This window comes from Homo sapiens, chromosome 8 (assembly GCF_000001405.40).
Source record: "Homo sapiens chromosome 8, GRCh38.p14 Primary Assembly".
Lineage (NCBI taxonomy): Eukaryota > Metazoa > Chordata > Mammalia > Primates > Hominidae > Homo > Homo sapiens.
Window position 1 is genome coordinate 86,864,947 of NC_000008.11, and position 19,927 is coordinate 86,884,873.

The window sequence follows — 19,927 nt, forward strand, 5'->3', positions numbered from 1 at the left end:
TGTAACATAATTAATGTTTTCTATTCTAGTTATTAATGTTATCTAGATGAAGTTGCTCCAGAAATGGTTGGTTTACACTCTGCTAGTCCAGTTCAGGTATCAGACAGCCACAGTCCTTTTGTATATTACCTGATGAAATGGGGGAGTTCCCTGATTCCCCTCACAGAATGTGTGACAGGGCTGTGGTTTGCCTGCTTGGTTGGTCATCGCTGCTGCTCAAACCCTGTGGGGAGGGGGAGCACACAGACGGACAGGTGCAGGAGCCCAAGTGGGCATTGTGTTGCAGTGTGCCCTTGTAGCCCTACCCTCCATGGATGGCTTGATGTTAACAAGCTCAATGGACCCTCTGCCTTTTCACAAGGGTAGAGGGCCAGTGTGATAGCTTTCTGTATCCTGAATTCTTGCCCAGCATCCCAGAAGTACTGGGTCACACATGGGCTTGAAGGAAGAACTCAGGGTTTTATTGAGTGGTGGAGGTGGCTCTCAGCAGGATGGATGGGGAGCTGGAAGGGGGATGGAGTGGGAAAATGATCTTCCCCTGGAGTTTGGCCGTACAGTGGCTGAACTCCTCTCAGTGTTCAGATGTTCCTCCTTTTCTCACTTTCTCTGCCTGTCATTCTGCCATTCATCTATTTGTCTCATCTCTTCGTCTGCTTCTGGAGCCTGGGATTCAGGGTTTATATGGGTACAGGATAGGGTGTGTTGCAGGCCAAAAGGCAACTTTTTAGGTGCAAAAACAGGAATGCCTGTCCCAATCTAGGGCCGCAGGTCTCCAGGCTTGAGGGTGGGGCCTTTACTGGGGAACTGCCCTCTTCTACCCAGTGTTTCCCTGTCTCCTGTCCGTATCACTCTAACAGTTATGATACCAGGACCCTATTTCTAAAGGCCTTGGAAGATAATACACAGCATCAAAAGATACATTAGTTAGGATTGTAAACCCTAGCCATTGTAACTATCCTTAATTATTGTGAAGCAGCAGAAAATAACAAAAAAACATGTTCCACACTCTAGCAGAATATAGTTAAATGTAAGCTGGGGTGGGTTTATTGGTGTATGATAATTAGAAGGGATGGTTTACCCTATAAATGTGGCCATGAAGAACAGTATAAATATGCTATCTCTGTTACTGCTGGTACAGAAAGGGCCTGTGATACCCAGTGTAAACATTTGGTAGGCAGGAAAAGGGCTCTGGACTATGGAAGACCAAGGAAGTGAATACTTTCATTTCACCTAGACTCATGAGTGCTGTTGATTCTGCTGTATCAGCCTTGTGGGCTACAGTTTCCTTCTTCATTATTGCTACTCTCTATAGCTCATAAAGTCCTCCTTATGATTTCCACTGGACTAAAATGTAGCATAGTTCTTCCTGGTCTAGATGACACTCTTGGAAATGCACAAACAATGGATAAGAACTATGAACAAGAAGATTCCGTAGGATTCAACCTATCAGAGAGGACCTTGAAGTTCTGCTTTATGAGCCTGCAGGCAAAGAGTGATCATTTGCCTCTCAAGCAGCCTCTGGTCATCTATCTGCCTTTGAGCCATCAAGATGCCGATGTCTTCTCTTCCAGCAGCTATTTTGTCTCACATGACAGCTATTAACAATGTGCCTCCTCCTCCACTTCACAGTATACCAAGTGAGTGGGAAATACTTTGATGCTCTTATTCACCTACCATTGTTTTCAGCGGTTCTTACCCCAGCTATGAAAATTGGGGGTATTTCAGGGTTGATAGGGACATTGGGAATCTTATTGACAGTGCTGAAGAATGGAAAGAACATAGATGTGTAAATCCTGCTTGGTCTACTTGAAGTCATTTCAGTACTCTAGGTCTTAAGTATTTTTTCTCTGTAAAATGAGGATCTTTACGAACTCTTAGAGCTTCAGATACATTGAAATATTTCTAAAGATGAAAGAAAACAAAGATTTAGAGAGGCCACATGTTCCACCAGCTATCAGGTTCCTTTTTCTAGCAGATCTTCTACTCCCTACCAAGAGTTGGTCCTACTACGCTTAATGGGATAATTAATACTTAATATTCTCTAGGAGAATTCTCATTTCAATTTGACAAGGAAAAAAAGATAATTCCTACTATTCTGACTGTGAAATTTATTCCTATTTAACTTTTTTATTTTCTAGTCTTACTTATAAGAATTAAGTATAGAACTAGATATTTCAAAGTTTATATAATTGACAGTATTTTCTCATTTTATGTAATTAGTCTAAACCTATAACGTTTTCTTAAGATTGTAAACACTTCTCATGGCCATCGAATTTATAAGATCTATTATTTGAACACCATCATTCTGACTAGCAATATGTATGAGTTCCAGTGTTAGTTAAGATTTTTAAAAAATATCTGGATAACAAAGGTAATACTTGTGATCCTTTTCAACTTCAATAAAGCATTAACTCTTATTTTATTATTCATTGGGCAGATTTATAGTATTGATTTGAAGAAGCTAAGCCATCCATCCTTTTCCCTTCCTGTGAAAGTTAATTTCTCCAAATACATTTTAAAAAATTAATGCTCATAGTCTCCAGGTTAAAAGGTATAACAGGTGGCAGTTGATACTCCTTGAAGGGGTACACTGATGTCTTGAATAGTGTTAGACAAAATCCTTATGTTAAACAAAATTAATTCCATTTGTATTATAGTGAAAATAATCTTGCATCTGGTCAAAGTTTTCTATTTCTACTTGAGTGGAAATAAGAATTAAGTGCAATTTTGCTGAAGAAACACAGCTTCTACTATTCATGTTTTATTTGTGAAAAAGAAAATAAAAGTCACCATAAAATAATATTTTTAAAAAGCCCAGGAAACTCGGTAGCTGGGAGTTAAAAGATCAAATTAATTTAGAATCAATGAGATGAGATTTGTGCTACCCTCTGTAGTGCCTCCCAAGGACACTTAACTTCTGTGAAGTGATTAAAAGACGAAAAATCAGCAGCAATTTAGATCTCAGAACTGAATAGAGCATAATGGAAAGCGGTGGAGCTCCCAGTGTTCCTTTAGAGGTTCGCACTTGATGTTTCTATGTCTGCAACTTCTCTTTGAGGACGTGCCCTGCTTGCCTTAATAACTGTGTCTTTTTGCTAACTGTAGCAAGACAATAATTTTCCTTAGCAAGCACTGATTGTCTCACTGCTGAAACAATGATCTCATGGAAGCCAATGTGTAATGAATGCTTTCAATTTATGAAATGACTGAACCTGAATTACAAAGGATATATAAATGAGTTTTAAATGCAGTGGGCATAAATAGGAATGCACATTTACATACCTAAAAAGAAAATCCAGCCATTGTATACATCCTTGATACTTTGTATTTGTTGAGTTAGGTTGGATTTAGTGACTCATATTCACCTTCTCTGTAAGTATTTATTTATTTATTTATTCATTTTTATTTATTTTTGAGATGAAGTCTTGCTCTGTTGCCCAGGCTGGAGTGCAGTGGCACGATCTCAGCTCACCACAACCTCCGCCTCCTGGGTTCAAGCGATTATCCTGCCTCAGCCTCTTGAGTAGCTGGGACTACAGGTGTGCCTGGCTAATTTTTGTATTTTTAGTAGAGATGGGGTTTCACTGTGTTGGCCAGGCTGGTCTCTATCTCCTCACCTCGTGATCTGCCCCCCTCAGCCTCCCAAAGTGCTAGGATTTACAGGCGTGAGCTACCACGCCCCGGCTGTCTGTATTTATATGTGAATATTGTTAATTGAGTGCTTTCTGTAGTTAGTATGTAAACATTTAGCACGTTATGTTATTTCATGTATTTCTTACAAGAACTCTATGTCTTCGGTGGACAGAATTAACGGTCCCAGTGATATCCATGCCTTAATTCACAAAACTTATGAATAGGTTATACTACATGTTAGGGGGAATTGAGGCTGCACATGCAATTAAAGCAGCTAATTGGCTCCACTTGAGATGGGAGAATATTCCGGTTTGTCTGGGTACCAGCCACAATTGTGAGAGCCCTTATAAGCAAAAGAGGAAGGCGAGAGAGTCAGAATGATATGTGAGAAAGACTCGACTGGCCCTTGCTGGCTTTGAAGATGGAGGGGGGACAAAAGCCAAGGAATTCAGGCAGCCTCTAGAAGCAGGGAAAGGCAAAGAAATGGATTCTCCCCTAGCGTCTCCAGAAGAATTGCAGTCCTGCTGATGTGATTTTAGCCCAGTGAAATCAGGTTCAGAGTTCTCATTTCCAGAACTGTTAGATAATACGTTTTTATTTTTTTAAGCCACTAAGGCAGTGGCAATCTTTTACAGCAGCAATATAAAATTAATACGTGTTCCAGTTTACACTTAAGGATAATAAGGCTTAGGTTTCATACTAAGGTTCACACAGATGTTAAGTAGCAGAGGCTCCTCGTAGCGTCATCTGTGTAAACAAACTCTACTCACAACAACAACAAAGCTGGCAGCATTCCGGGTTGCCCCTTACCTCCTGCCCTGAATTTCTTGCCCATTTGGCTACTTAAATGCTATTAATATATGGGAGGCAACATGTCACACATCTTCAAACCCTCCTCCACTGCTATCTTGTTGACTCTGAAATTCAGACTCAGACACTTCAAGTAGTTAAGCTTCTTGAGCTAGTTTGCTGCTTGTGGTTCTTTCTTCTTTGAAACTTTCAAGTCTTTTCCTTCTCTGGTCTCTTTGACTTCTGTCTCAGGATTCTTCACAGTTTGCTAACCTTAAGGGAGGAATGAATGTTCTCAAAAGCAGAAGAGCTGTTCCACTTTTCATTCTGGATGAGAATTATTTTAAAAACATCATAGCTAACAAACTGTACAGTTTTACCACCTAAGTGAAATGGCATCTGGTTTAAGTACACACATGACCCATTATTTTTATAAGTTGATTTCCTGAAGAGATAGAAAAAAAGAAAAAAAAATTCTTATTTTAAAAAATTTTTAATGGAAGGCAAGAAGCTGTCCTTCACCGTTTGGTTTATGGTCCAGTTAACTTCCTTTGTTGGGATAAATTTGCTGCTACTCTATTTTCTTCACACTAATTAGGCTTATTCTTCTGAGGAAGAATGGGTTTAAAAATATGCTTTACATTTTGACTACTGGTTGACTTGAAAAAAAAATTTCTGTGCTTTTCCAGTTCCAAAAATGTTTTAATTCACCAGACATTTCTAGGTATCTTTCATTTATTCCAACATATGAGTTGGAAAAAAAAAAGCATTCAAGATAAGACCAGAGACACATCAAGAAATTTAGAAACAAGATAGTACTCTTTTTTTTTTTTTTTCTGAGACGGAATCTCGCTCTGTCGCCCAGGCTGGAGTGCAGTGGCGTGATTTCATTTCACTGCAAACTCTGCCTCCTGAGTTCACGCCATTCTCCTGCCTCAGTCTCCTGAATATCTGGGACTACAGTATATGTTAGTCGCAGCCACGCCTGGCTAATTTTTTTGTATTTTTTTAGTAGAGACGGGCTTTCACCGTGTTGGCCAGAATGGTCTCGATCTCCTGACCTCGTGATCCACCCGCCTCGGCCTCTCAAAGTGCTGGGATTACAGATGTGAGCCACCGCGCCTGGCCAACACGATAGTACTCTTAAGCGAATGTTTTTCTTCGCTCTTTTTCATTTTATGGCTTTACATTTACTGCAAATCTGAAAACACTGTGTCATCATTCCTAAGCGTTCAAAGGCGTTTTCTATAATTTGAGAGTTTTTCAGTTCTTTGGTAGCCAAGGATTAAAGGTATATATTTGAAAAAGTGAATATTGTACCATTTAAAAGTTTTAAACCATTCAAATCCTAGGAATGCAGGTAAGAAAAAAAGGAGGCTTGTCAGTGACGAAGAAAAACAGGGAAGTGGGTTGTATAATGTATAAAGAAACCAAGTTTAAGGAAAAGAAAGAACTAAAATAAATAAGAATGAAAATTCCAAGAAGGAGTAAAAGGTGGGAAAAAGGTTGAATGTTTGTGTCCATTTCTGTGTCTATATAATCAATGATAGTCCCAATGGAATGTGCCATCATAAAATTCAGAAGTATTGAAAAATTTTTTTCCTCACCTTAATTTTTTAGGATAAAAGTCAAATTTTTAATCCCAAGGAGAAAAGATGGATGTTTTATTGTAAAGCAAACATTTAGTATTTTTTTCCTACTACTGTTATAACTATTTTGATGTACTTTTTGTCAAACCATTTTGAGTGGCGTTTAGAAATTAAGCTATGGGAACTTAAATGTGAGCTTGATGGTACCTGGGACTTCAGGCAGGAAACAGGAAATGGTGAAGTAAATTGCAGTGCCTTGCAAATCACATCTCCACTAGATGTCAGGCTAGGTCTCCTCTGAGTCTCAGGCTACTGCTCTATCTGCCTATATCAGAGATTAGTCCTGTTATTAGTTCCATGTTACCAATCCTTCAGACAACTGAAGATGCTGGTCCTCCAGCATCTTTCACAGAACTGATCTCTGGTCTTCCTTCCAACATATACTGTGAACTAGATTTACTTGTCTGATAGGACGATTAAACTTTTTGATAACTTTAACTCTACACTCAAAAGCTGTCAGGGTCCTACTCTCCTTTAAAACTTACATTACAATCTATTTTCCACAATCTGGCATTTAAATCTTTCATGATTAAGCTAAAATCTGTCTCTTGTGTTCTAGATCTCATTCTTCCATCTATGTAACTCTCCACTACAGCTAAAACACTTTGTTATTCCTTAAGCCTATCTGCCAATACTGATTAGAGGTACAGGAAGATTTCAAAGGTTAAACATTCAGATGGACACACTTGGCAAATATGTAAAGTTACAGCTTTCCATAAGGACACTGTTAGGGGTTCCCCTTCTGTGGAAGAAGTCCCCAGATGCCTAGGCTGCATCCCACACAGCCAGCCCTCTTTGGCCACCTATATAGTAGCTCAGGTTCAAGGTAGTGAGAGTCACATAGGGCAGATGCTGAATTGCCCTGGCTTAAAACCCTCATAAACCATCGTTTTTAATAAAAATTCCAAAGGCACTTCTTCCAAGTTTCCTGTAAGAAATCTCTCAATTACTAGAGTTAAAGTACTCAGCGTAGCTCATTTCAGTGACTGCTCATCAGGTATTCGTACATCATCTGTAGTGCTTTCTAGTCCAAATGCAAGTCATCAATCCAAGATCATTGTTATCATAAGCAATGTTGCCTAGCAACACTGTTAACTCTACCTTAATCTGGCCTATAAGGAACAGAGCTGGAGAGTTATCATGCTGACAGGAAAAATATTCCCTTAATTACACCATCATAATCTTCACCATATTGTCATGCCTTAGCTCATGTTTCCTGTGTTTGGGGTTCCCTTTGCTCTTCCTTTATTTGTTCTTATCATTTCAGTTCTTCAGAGTTTTCCTAAATTACTTTAATCTCCACAAAGACTCTCCTGGCTTTTCCAGTATGAAGAAATTATATATACTATTTTAATGTATTTGTATTTATTAATTATAATCACATTTTATATAATCACATTTATAAAATTTTTATGTAGTCACTATAGAGGCAGAAGTAGGATTATTGGATCATATGGTAATTCTATTGTTAATATTTTGAGGAACTTTCATACTGCTTTCCAAAATGACTATATTAATTTACATTCTCACCAACAGTATATCAGGGTTCCCTTTCCTCCACTTTCTCTCTAACACTTATCTTTAGATTTTTGATAGTAGCCATGTTAACAGGTACGGAGTGGTATCTCGCTGTGGATTTAATTTGTATTTCCCTGATGATTAGAGATATTGACTTTTTTTTGTTGGCCATTCATGGGTCTTATTCTGAAAAATGTCTGTTCAGGCCCTTTGCCCATTTTTCAAGTTGGACTATGTGTTTGCTTGTTACTGAATTGTTTGAGTTCCCTATATATTTTGGATATTACCCCCTTATCATAGGTATAATTTGCAAATATAGTCTCCATTCTGTGGGTTGTCTCTTCACTCTGTTGTTTCCTTTTCTGTGCAGAAGCTTTGTAGAGTGATGTAATCTCATTTATCTACATTGACTTTTGTTCCCTGTGTATATGAGAAAGCTGAGGCAGGAGGATCGCTTGAGCCCAGGAATTTGAGGTGAATTTCAGTAAGCTACGATCATGCTACTGCACTCCAGCCTGAGCAACAGCACAAGGCCCTGTTTTTGTTGTTGTTGTTGTTGTTGTTTTAGTTTTTTTTTTTTTTTGAGATGGAGTTTCACTCTTGTTGCCCAGACTGGAGTGCAGTGGCACGATCTTGGTTCACCGTAACTTCTGCCTCCCGGGTTCAAGAGATTCACCTGCCTCAGCCTCCCAGGTAGCTGGGATTACAGGCATGCGCCACCACACCCGGCTAATTTTGTATTTTTAGTAGAGACGGGGTTTCTCCCTGTTGATCAGGCTTGTCTCAAACTCCCAACCTCGGGTGATCTGCCCGCCTCGGCCTCCCAAAGTGCTAGGATTACAGGTGTGAGCCACCACACCTGGCCAAGACCCTGTTTTTTTTAAAAAAGGATTAATTTGTGGAGAATTGACATATTTATAATATTGAGTCTTCCTACTCAATAACTGGTATCTTTACAATGCTCAGTCTTCCTACTTCTCAGGCTGAATGGCTCACACCTGTAATCCCAGCACTTTGGGAGGCTGAGATGGGAGGATCCCTGGAGGCCAGGAGTTTGAGACTAGCCTTGGCAACATAGTGAGACCCTGTTTCTACCAAAAAACAAATCCATAAGTAAATAAATCTTCCCCTTGAATTTATGTAAGTGTTCTTGCATGCCACTAAATAAAATTTATTCCTGGGTATTTTATCTTTTTTCTATTATGAATGATATCTTTTTCTAACTGTAAAGTCAGTATGTGAGAAATATTAAATTTAAATTTTTAAAAAGCTTTTGAAATAATCATAATCTTACAGATGTTGGAAGTTCAGATTAAAGGAACTTATTTTTCTAGAGCAATTTGACATTCCGTCATCCCCATATTTCAGTGTGTATTTTTAAAAAAACATTGTTACATAATTACAATACAACTATCAAGATCAGGAAAATTAACATTGATACATTACTGTAATCTAATCCTTGGACCCCATTCAAATTTGGTCAGTTGTTCTGATAATGTCCTTTCTAGTAAAACAATCCAATTCAAAATCTCATGTTTTTCTGGTCAATGTGTCTGTTTTATGCCAGCACCATACTGTTATGATAGCTTTGTATTTTGAAATCAGACAGTGTGATAGTTTTAGCTTTGTTCTTTTTTCTTCAGATTGCTTTGACTCTTTAGGATCTTGCTGTCTTGTCTCTTCAATTCTTTCAGTCTGGAATAGTTTCTCAGTTTTCCTTGACTTTCATGACCTTGATACTGGGAGACAACAAAGCAGTTATTTTGTAGAATATCTTTCAATTTGGTTTGTTTGATATTTCCTCATGATTAGATTTGAGGTAGACATCTTTGTCAGCAATATCACAGGAGTTATTTCATGTTCTCCTTCCATCTTATCAGGGGCCATATGATCTCAGTTTGCCCCACTCTTGATGATATTCACTTTAATAATGATTAAGGTATTACATAGAGAGCTTTCCAGTTGTAAATGTACTCTTTTCTCTTTTTAAATTAATATGTTTTGTGAAGATGTATTTTAAGGTGTATAAATATTCCATTTCTCATGAAATATTAAATTAAATACATTGACCGTTCTTTATTTGGGTTAAAAAATAAAAATTAAATATAGGAACTCTGGGGTTTCTATTTTATTCAAAGAGTTTTAAGGAGTTATTTTTATTATATATTTTGATCACATTGTTCATAGTTTGGACAGTGGGAGCCACTTCAAGTTGGTTTGAGCATTTCTTTGCTTCTGACACAATGGGATTTTTCAAGCTCTTTTCATACTTTCTTTGTCTTATCCCTGGAATCAGACATTTTCCCTAAGAGCCCTGTTTTGTTTTAATGAAAATTTAAGATCTGGGTGCTCTGTGCATCATTGATCTTAGGATGCCATTACTCCCAGGCCCTCTCAGTGGACAGATCTAGGGAATACAAATTCACATTTATATTTGTTTGTAAATCAATTTATATATATATATATATATATATATATATATATATGTATTAAAAATTGTGAGTTTACACTGATTTCTTTAATCCTAATGCAGCACCACAGGCTCATTCTTATCTTCTCCCTTTCTGTATTTCTAACTCCCATCTCTGAAGTGATAAAGCTTTCTCCTATTAGCTTTAACATAACACTTTTGAGTAGTTTCCTTGTTTGTAATCTATCTTCCATATTCACTGCCATCCATTCTGACATTTAGCTCTGGGACACTCCCTCTGTCTCACACCTCGCAGCTGTCCTCCTTACCTGGTTGTTCTGAGACTCTGCACAGTCCCACCTTAATGTGGATGCCCTCCACACCCTGGTCTTGGATGCTGTGATACCTTACCTTTCACCCTACCTACTCCTGGTATAGATGTCTACCATCTGCTGCTGTCACATTGGTTTTAGGACTCACTGTTCGAGGAAAAAGGCAAGCTATTGAATTAGTTACTTCTGGAATAAGCCACTTTGGCAAGTACTCTAATGGGTTTCTGGTCTATGTACTTTTTTTAAATCTATATAATTACAATAATAGCAAACACTGATTTGTATCTTTCTTTCTAATTTCTAAATCTTGTGCATTTCTTTTATTAAATTGTGTCCTTTGGTACTTTCAGAAATTTGTAGCACTAGTATATATCTTTATCTCGTTCCTGAATTTATTGCTATTGCCTCTGGTGTTTCAACATTAAACATGATTCTGTCTTTTGGTTTGATCTACTTACCAGCTTAAAAAAAATAAACTTTTTTCAATTTAAGCTGCTAAGAACTATGTTGAATTTTACTGGATACTTTTTCTGTATTTAGGGAGATTATAATTTTAAAAATTTCAACTTATTGTGGAAAATTATATTGCTATATTCTCTAATTGAATTTTCTTTGATTATTTGGATAAATCTTACTTTGTTGTATGATCTTTGTTAATATGTTGCCGGGCACTATACCCTCGTATATATTTTTGGAAAATATTCATGTGTATTTGTGAGATTAATCTCTGGTTTCCTTTTTCATGTTTTGTCATATTTGCATCTAATTGTTTTGCTTGCTTCATCAAATAAATTTGAAAGCTTTTCTATGTTTCAATATTTAACAAGCATATGTATTGTCTCTTCCATGAAGATTTGATGGAATCCACTGTGATAATGCCTTGTTTGATACCTGTGTGTGTGTGTTTGTGTGTGTGTGTGTGTGTGTGTGTGTGTTTGTGGTGGAGGAAAACTGCTTTGAGATTATTCCCCATTTTTTTCAAGGCAATTAATTTACTTAGGCTTTTCTCTTTTTTCTAATGTCAAATATAAGTAATATACATTTTCCTTAAAAAATCATTTTTGTTTAGTTTCAGTTTTTTTGACCTTACATCTTTGTGTAAAACCTTCTTTTCTGATTTCTTTTTAATGATATATACTGTTAGTTAGTTCCCAGTTTTCTTATGTTGAGTACTTAAGCTATTCTTTTTGTTTAGATATGCCTGTGGTTTACTTTTTCCTTTCCAAAGAACCAGCTCTTGATTTTTACTTTCTATATTTTTTCTGTTTTATAAATTTATTCATTGCTTTTCTTTGTTTTCTCCTTTCCATTTTTCTTATGTATTTTAATTTTCTTGTACTACTTGAGTTAAAAGCTAATTTTTTATTTTATTCTATCTTCTTGTAATATCAGTCATTTTTTTCTTCAGAGAAATACATATTTTAACTATATTCCATAGGTTCATGAAAGGCTTCACTATTTTTACTTTATATTTTATAGTTTTAGTTTTAATATCCTCTTTTGATTTAAGAATAAAATTTGGTACATGATTAATATATGTAAAATCTACATCCTTAGTGATTCATTTCCTATTTGATTTTTGTTTGACAACAAAGGGAAGTTATTGGGGTTTATTTTGCCTCCATTTATACCTGCAATTTTTGCTTTATGAATTTTGATGGTATATAATCTGAGAACAAAAATGTTTAATAGTTTGATTCTATACCTAAATCAAATGTCTATTTCTTGATTTATCAACTTTAGAAAATGCATATTTATAACCTAGTATGAAATGAGAAAAATTTCCCTCTTCACATGTTGATTTTGTTGCAACAAATATTTAAGTCTTTGGTCAGTTATATTCATATCTTTAAATGTTATTAAATATTATTTTTAATATTTCTTAAACTGTAACTATTAATTATCTACTTTGTAAGGGAATATGTACAGATATATATTACATTTTCTCCTCTGCTGAAACTTCACATTTGTTACTCATTATTTATACTATCTCCATTATAATCTATGAATAAGTTATTTATGTTAATGTTTACAAAATTTGCCTACACTTTATTAGTACATTTTGCATCCTATTTAAGTCTTAGTTGTATGGGTATGTGATTTCTTCACCCAGTGCTTACTAGGCGAAATTTGATATCCAAATAATATCTCTGAGGTTTCATATTTATTAGTTGGGGAATAAAATTCATGAGTCACATTTTTTTCTTCCCTGAGGTTGCCCTACTCTTTGCCAGGACATTGCTGTGGAGAAGTCTGTGACCAAAGTTTTTCACACTTGGAGAAGGCTTCCTCTTTTGGCTTGCTGCTAAAATAATTCTTTATCTTTGAAATATGGTAACAATTAGCTGCTAATCGAGTAACACCTAGAACATCTAATCTTTTTGTAAATCATGTATCATGATTTCTCTTTGCCTTTCTGGGTCATCGTATTATATTTAATTCTCCAGATTCAAGTGTTTATATAAGAAAAGTATTATTGCATTATATCTTTGAGCATTTTTTGTCTACTCTTATTTCTGTTTGCTTACTCAGAAATCATTTTTACATATAGTATCTGCTCCCTATTTTCATTTGTTATTTTCTCCTTTCTTTATGTGTTTCCTATTTATTTGAATGTGTTAGCCTCTGTGTCTATGGCTATATTTTCTTAAATCTTTGTCATTTTTGCAGTTTCCCATGTGGATTTTATTTCTGTCATTATTTTATCTTCCTCTTATTTCCTGAATATTGCCTGCTTGTAATTTCTTTCTGTTTTCCTATTTATGGTTAATGCCATGTAATTTTGTTTTTCTTTCATCAAAGCTGTGTGTGTGTGTGTGTGTGTGTGTGAGAGAGAGAGAGAGAGAGAGAGAGACGGAGAAGCACAGATTTTTGCTTATTTCCTGGCATAATTATTATTCTAGTGCATACTGCATACTATTTGATTTTTATTTGCTATTATAAATTAATCATTTTTACCTTTTCCCTTAGAGCATATTGTGCTTAGGTTCCAGGATTATTAAATAGTGGTTATTTTTTGAAGATAGATTACTTGTTAGAAAATAAATGGTGGTGGAGAGTGCACTAGTTCAGCAGACAGATTGAATTTTCTTGTATGTTAATGTTGAACACTTTTCATCAACTTTGTTCTGTTCTCTTCCCTAAACAATATGCTCCTAATTTGTGCTGTCATCGTTTAAATTCCAAAGGTTCTGTGTAGTTATTTGGCCATGATCTATTTCTTTTCAGTGACTGAGATCAGCTGCTTCTATGTTGATTGCCACTTAACATTGTCCTCTGTATTATCACAACTTTATTCTGAAAAAAAAAAAAAAATGAGTGTTATGTGGAACCGTTGTTTAACCCCGCCTTTCATGAATGTCACTGGTTCAAGGATATCCCCTTAGTCTGTCCATGTCTGAACATCTTCCCATTTCAAGTAAGGTTTAGTGGCTGCATCCTTCAGAGCTGTATCAGCTTCCCCTGGAGAACTCTTCCTATTTCCTCAAACAAGACCAGTATGCATTTTCTCTTGTACCTCTTTTACAGTTTATTGATGTTTCACTATTTGGTTGATATTATTCAGAATTCATAGTTAGAAAATATGGTTAATCCTCAGTTTTACTGAAGATCAGGCTTCTTCCTCTAACTTTTATGTTTTACTCTTTATGTTATTTAGTGGGCTGTTTGTCATGATGAATAGATTTTTAATGCCAAAAAAATGACATTGACTTGATGTTCAATCTCATGTAGATGGGAGATAAAATAATTAAAATATGATCTTCTGCAAGAAGCAGGGTGTTTTTAGATTTTTGAAAGTATTCCTTTAATAACATTTTTACTTCCACTTATCTGTCTTTGTTATTTTTTCTTGATTTGATTTTCATTGCATACAACTGATTCTCACCTGACAAATTAGAGTCACATTATTATTATTTATTCATTATAATTTACTAAATATTATTTAAATCCAATCATTATGATAAGTTCTAGTGTTTTGGTTCAAGATGAATAGAAAATGGACCCTGTTCTAAGGGGAGCATCATAAATCTGAAGAAACATAGATATAAATTAAAAAGTCATAAAGAAAGATATTATTTGCTTTAGTGCAACTATTCTTGTGGTGCTGTAAGAGCACAATGGAAAAGACATTTACCTTTTTCTATGGAAGACGAGTTTCAAAAAGTGTCACTGGTTAATTTCTGAGGTGGATCTAAAAGTATGGATGAGTTTTTTAAGTTGAGTAATGATCCAAAGAGAATATAATATCAAAAAGACAAGATATGTTCATGGAGCACCCAGAACATGCGTTGTTGAAAGATGGCGAGAATGAGGGCAGGTGCTGTGGCTCATGCCTGTAATTCCAGCACTTTGGGAGGCCAAGGCGGGTGGATCATGAGGTCAGGAGATCGAGACTATCCTGGCTAACATGGTGAAACCCTCTCTCTATTAAAAATACAAAAAAATTAGCTGGACATGGTGGCGGGCGCCTGTAGTCCCAGCTGCTCGGGAGACTGAGGCAGGAGAATGACGTTAACCCAGGAGGCGGAGGTTGCAGTGAGCCGAGATTGTGCCACTGCACTCCAGCCTGGGCGACAGAGCGAGAGTCCGTCAAAAAAAAAAGGAAAAAAGAAAGACGGAGAGAATGGGGGAGGAACTTAGAGGGTGGTGTTCAATGAGGTCACAGAAGTTAATTTAGGTACAATTATAAAAAGAATGTATTACATACAAAGGGATTTAAAGCAAGAAAGTTTAACAATCACATTAGAATTTTAGAAAGTACTGTGAGAGTAGACTGGAGGATGTGTTGGGGAGGAAGAAGCTGAACTCAGGGACATTAGTTAGGCCATTATTGTAGTATTACAGATGAGATTCAAAGAGAACCTGAAATAAGATATTGAGCTGTGGCAAGCATGTGAATAATACTACTTCACAATGTACATGTCACACAGCCCTACTTGGTGACTTCTGATTAACGATCCTTATTGTCATTGGGATTACAGGAGACACACAGTCAGTCTTTTGTTTCTGAGGTTTCCCTGTGCAGACTCAACCAACTTGGGATCGAACATATTAGAAAAAATAAAAAAAAACGTAATACTACAATAAAAATAACATAAAATACAAAACAATACAGTATAACACTATTTAAATAGGATTTATATTGTATTAGGTATTAAAAGTGATCTAGAGAAGATTTATACTATATGGGAAGATGTGCATAGGTTATCTGAAAATATTATGCCATTTTATATGAAAGACTTGAGCATCTATGGATTTTTGTACTGGAGGGGTGAAAGAGGTGTCCTAGAACCAACACCCCATGGATATTGATGGACAACTGTATTTTGAAAATATTTAGGATATATTTCAAAAGAGATGGAATTGACAGTCTTTATAACACTTTGGTCCTGAAGAGGAAAGGGTAGAATAAGATCTCAAGATTGGTTATAGATACAACAACAAAAAGAGAAAACTTCAGGCCAATAACCTTTATGAACAGCAATGAAAAAATCCTCAACAAAATATCGGCAAACCCAATCCAGCAGCACATCAAAAGCTTATCCACCATGATCAAGGAGGCTTCATCTCTGGGATGCAAGGTTGGTTCAACATATGCAAATCAAGAAATATGATTCATCACATAAACAGAACTAAAGACAAAAACCACATGATTATCTCAATAGATGCAGAAAAAGGCTTTTGATAAAATTCAACATCCCTTCATGTTAAAAACTCTCAATAAACTAGATGTTGAAGGAACATACCTCAAAATGATAAGAACCCTATATGAAAAACCCACAGCCAACATCATACTGAATGGGCAAAAGCTGGCAGCATTCCTCTTGAATACCAGCACAAGACAAGGATGCCCTCTCTCACCACTCCTATTCAACACAGTATTGGAAGTTCTGGCCAGGGCAATCAGGCAAGAGAAGGAAATAAAGGGTATTCAAATAGTAAGAGAGGAAGTAAAACTATCCCTGTTTGCAGATGACATAATTCTATATCTAGAAAACCCTGTTGTCTCAATCCCAAAGCTTCTCAAGCTTATAAGCAAAGTCTCAGGATACAGAATCAATGTGCAAAAATTGCTAGCATTCCTATACGCCAACAACAGGCAAGCAGAGAGCCAAATCATGAGTGAATTCCCATTAACAATTGCCACAGAAAGAATAAAATACCTAGGAATACAGCTAACAAGGGAGGTAAAAGATCTCTACAAGGAGAACTATAAACAACTGCTCAAATAAATCAGAAATGACACAAACAAATGGAAAACCATTCCATGCTCATAGATAGGACAGATAAATATCATTAAAATGGCCATCTGCCCAAAGCAATTTATAGATTCAATGCTATTGCCATTAAACTGCCATTCGCATTCTTCACAAAATTAGAAAAAACTATTTAAAAATTCATATAGAATCAAAAAAGAGCCTCAATAGCCAGGCAATCTTAAGCAAAAAGAAAAAAGCTGGAGCCATCACTCTACATGACTTCAAACTATACTGCAGGGCTACAGTAACCAAAACAGCATGGTACCAGTACAAGAACAGACACATAGACCAATGGAACAGAGTAGTGAACCCAAAAATAAGTCCACACATCTATAACTATCTGATCTTCAACAAGCCTGACAAAAATAGGTAATGGGAAAAAGATTCCCTATTCAATACTGGGAATAGGGAAAACTGGGTACTGGGAAAACTGGCTAGCTATAAGCAGAAAATTGAAAGTGGACCCCTTTTTTACACTATATTCAATAATTAACTTAATATGGATTAAAGATTTAAATGTAAAACTCCAAACTATAAAAACCCTGTAAGACAACCTAGGCAATACCATTCAGAGGCATGGGCAAAGATTTCATGATGAAGATGCCAAAAGCAATTGCAACAAAAGCAAAATTGACAAATGAGATCTAATTAAACTAGAGTTTCTTCACAGCAAAAGAAACTGTCAGCAGAGTAAACACACAGCCTACAGAATGGGAGAAAAATTTTGCAAACTATGCATCTGACAAAGGTCTAATATCTAGCATCTATAAGGAACTTAAACAAATTTACAAGAAAAAAACAACCGCATTAAAAAGTGGGCAAAGGACATGAACAGACATTTCTCAAAAGAAGACATAAATGTGGCCAACAATCATATGGAAAAAAGCTCAACATCACTGGTCATTAGAGAAATGCAAATCAAACCACTGAGACACCATCTCACACCAGTCAGAATAGCTGTTATTAAAAAGTAAAAAAATAACAGATGCTGGTGAGGTTGTAGAGAAAAAAGAACACTTACACCCTGTTGGTGGGACTGTAAATCAGCTCAACCATTGTGGAAGACAGTGTGGCAATTCCTCAAAGACCTAAAGACAGAAATACCACTGAACCTAGCAATCCCATTATTTGGGTATATACCCAAATGAATATAAATCATTGTATTATAAAGACACATGCACATATATGTTCACTGCAGCACCATTCACAATAGCAAAGACATGGACTCAACCTAAATGCCCATCAATGATAGACTGGGTAAAGAAAATGTGGTACATAAATACCATGGAATACTATGCAGCCATAAAAAAGAATAAGATTATGTCCTTCACAGGGACATGGATGGATTTCGAGGCCATCATCCTTAGCAAACAAACTCAGGAACAGAACACCAAATACCACGTGTTTTCACTTGTAAGTGGGAGCTAAGAGATGAGAACACATGGACACATAGAGGGGAACAACATACACTGAGACTTACTGGAGGGTGGAAGGTGGGAGGAAGGATAGGACCAGAAAAAATAACTAATGGATACTAGGCTTAATATCTGGGTGATGAAATAATGCATATAACAAACCACCATGATACACGTTTACCTATATAACAAAACTGCACAACCTGCATGTTCCCTGGAACTTAAAAGTTAAAAAAAAAAAATAGATTGGTGACAAAGTTATTATAATTGGTAGGGATTTTCTTAATCCAGACAAAATTCAGGAGAGGATCATGTTTTATATGGCAAAATAAACATGGGAGAAATTTTGAGTGAAGTTTTGGTTATCTTGAGTTTGCTTTTCCTGGGCAACATTCACGTGAATATTAGTGGAGCACTGGTTAGAGATCTGGGCTGGAGAGTTTGATTTGAGAATCTTAAGATCAATGTGATCATTGAAGACATGAATGCAGATAAGATTATGCAAAAAGAGGATCTAAGCTGAGAAGAGAAGACAAGGGTAATGAGAATGGATTCTTGGCCAACGTCAATGCTTAACGGAAGAAGATAGCATTCAATGGAGCAGTCTAATAATGGGAAAGCAAGAAAGGAGAGAATGGTGTCACAAAAACCCAGTAAGAAGAAACTTCAGTATCAAACATCACACAGGGCGTAGTAAGATGAAGACTGAAAGGAGGTTATTTGACTAGAATCTAAAAGGTCTCTGATGATCTTAATGAAAAAAATTTCAAAAAATATGAAGAAGATTAATTATAGTAGATGGAAGAGTAAATTTGGGTTGGGGAAATAGAAAAGATAAACGTAGATTATTTTTTCCAAAAATGCTGGGTATAAAGAGAAGTTATTTTGATAATTTGTTGTAAAACATTGCCCCTTTCGGCTGGGCGCGGTGGCTCACGCCTGTAATCCCAGCACTTTGGGAGGCCGAGGTGGGCGGATCACGAGGTCAGGAGATCGAGACCATCCCGGCTAAAACGGTGAAACCCCGTCTCTACTAAAAAATACAAAAAATTAGCCGGGCGTAGTGGCGGGCGCCTGTAGTCCCAGCTACTTGGGAGGCTGAGGCAGGAGAATGGCGTGAACCCGGGAGGCGGAGCTTGCAGTGAGCCGAGATCCCGCCACTGCACTCCAGCCTGGGCGACAGAGCGAGACTCCGTCTCAAAACAAAACAAAACAAAACAAAACAAAAAAACCTTGCCCCTTTCCGTTTCATGTGTCCCCACCACTCCCCCACTGCCCCCATTTTCTCTTCTCAGGTAATACAGTTCTATTTTAACATCTTAACCCACCCAGTCAATGAACAGGGACAATCTAGGCCCACTTGGGAATTGTCTCTGTCAGTGTGCCAGCATTTATTAATAGAAAACTTTGACTGGGCATTATTCTTTTGCCTCTGAAGGTTTATTTAGTCACCCTTTTTGGGTGCCTTATGTCTATCTAATATTATATTATTTAAAGAAAAATTACCTTTGAGATTTTAGAAAACAAAAACTAGTTGAAAAATGGGTAGATACACTATGAACCATTAACATAGGTATGTTTAGTGACCTCACTAGATAGGTTTAGACTTATTTTAAAACATACTCCTCCCTGTAATTAAATCACTAATCCAAGTATATAGGAAGACTTAGTCATGCTTATTGTCTCTGAAGGATCCTTTTCTTTATTTTCTCCCATCCAGCTTCTTGTTCAGTACTTCAGTCCTATGCTAGAATTCACCTTCTGCTTATTATTGTATAAGGGTTGCTATTCTTACTACAAAAGTTTGTTGCCAGTATTTCTGTTGCTATGGCTGCTGAACTGCTTCTTTGTGCTCTAAAAATCATATTAAGCAAGGTTCCATTTATCATTGGATTAATTATTAGAGTATGTACTCCAACTA

General features: G+C 36.4%; 1 protein-coding gene across 4 annotated transcripts in view; it reads left to right on the forward strand.

Annotated features, from left to right (window-relative positions):
• Positions 1–1,468: 1,468 nt before the first annotated feature.
• CNBD1 (cyclic nucleotide binding domain containing 1) overlaps positions 1,469–19,927 on the forward strand; it is a 562,238-nt gene continuing 543,779 nt past the window's right edge. For 3 of the 4 annotated variants that reach the window (NM_173538.3, XM_047421411.1, XM_024447082.2), the window contains exon 1: positions 1,469–1,637. In NM_173538.3, the coding sequence (NP_775809.1) occupies positions 1,550–1,637 (88 nt within the window). In that variant the 5' untranslated portion in view covers positions 1,469–1,549. The remainder of the gene's footprint in view (positions 1,638–19,927) is intronic. The other variant, XM_017013149.2, reaches the window with a different exon arrangement.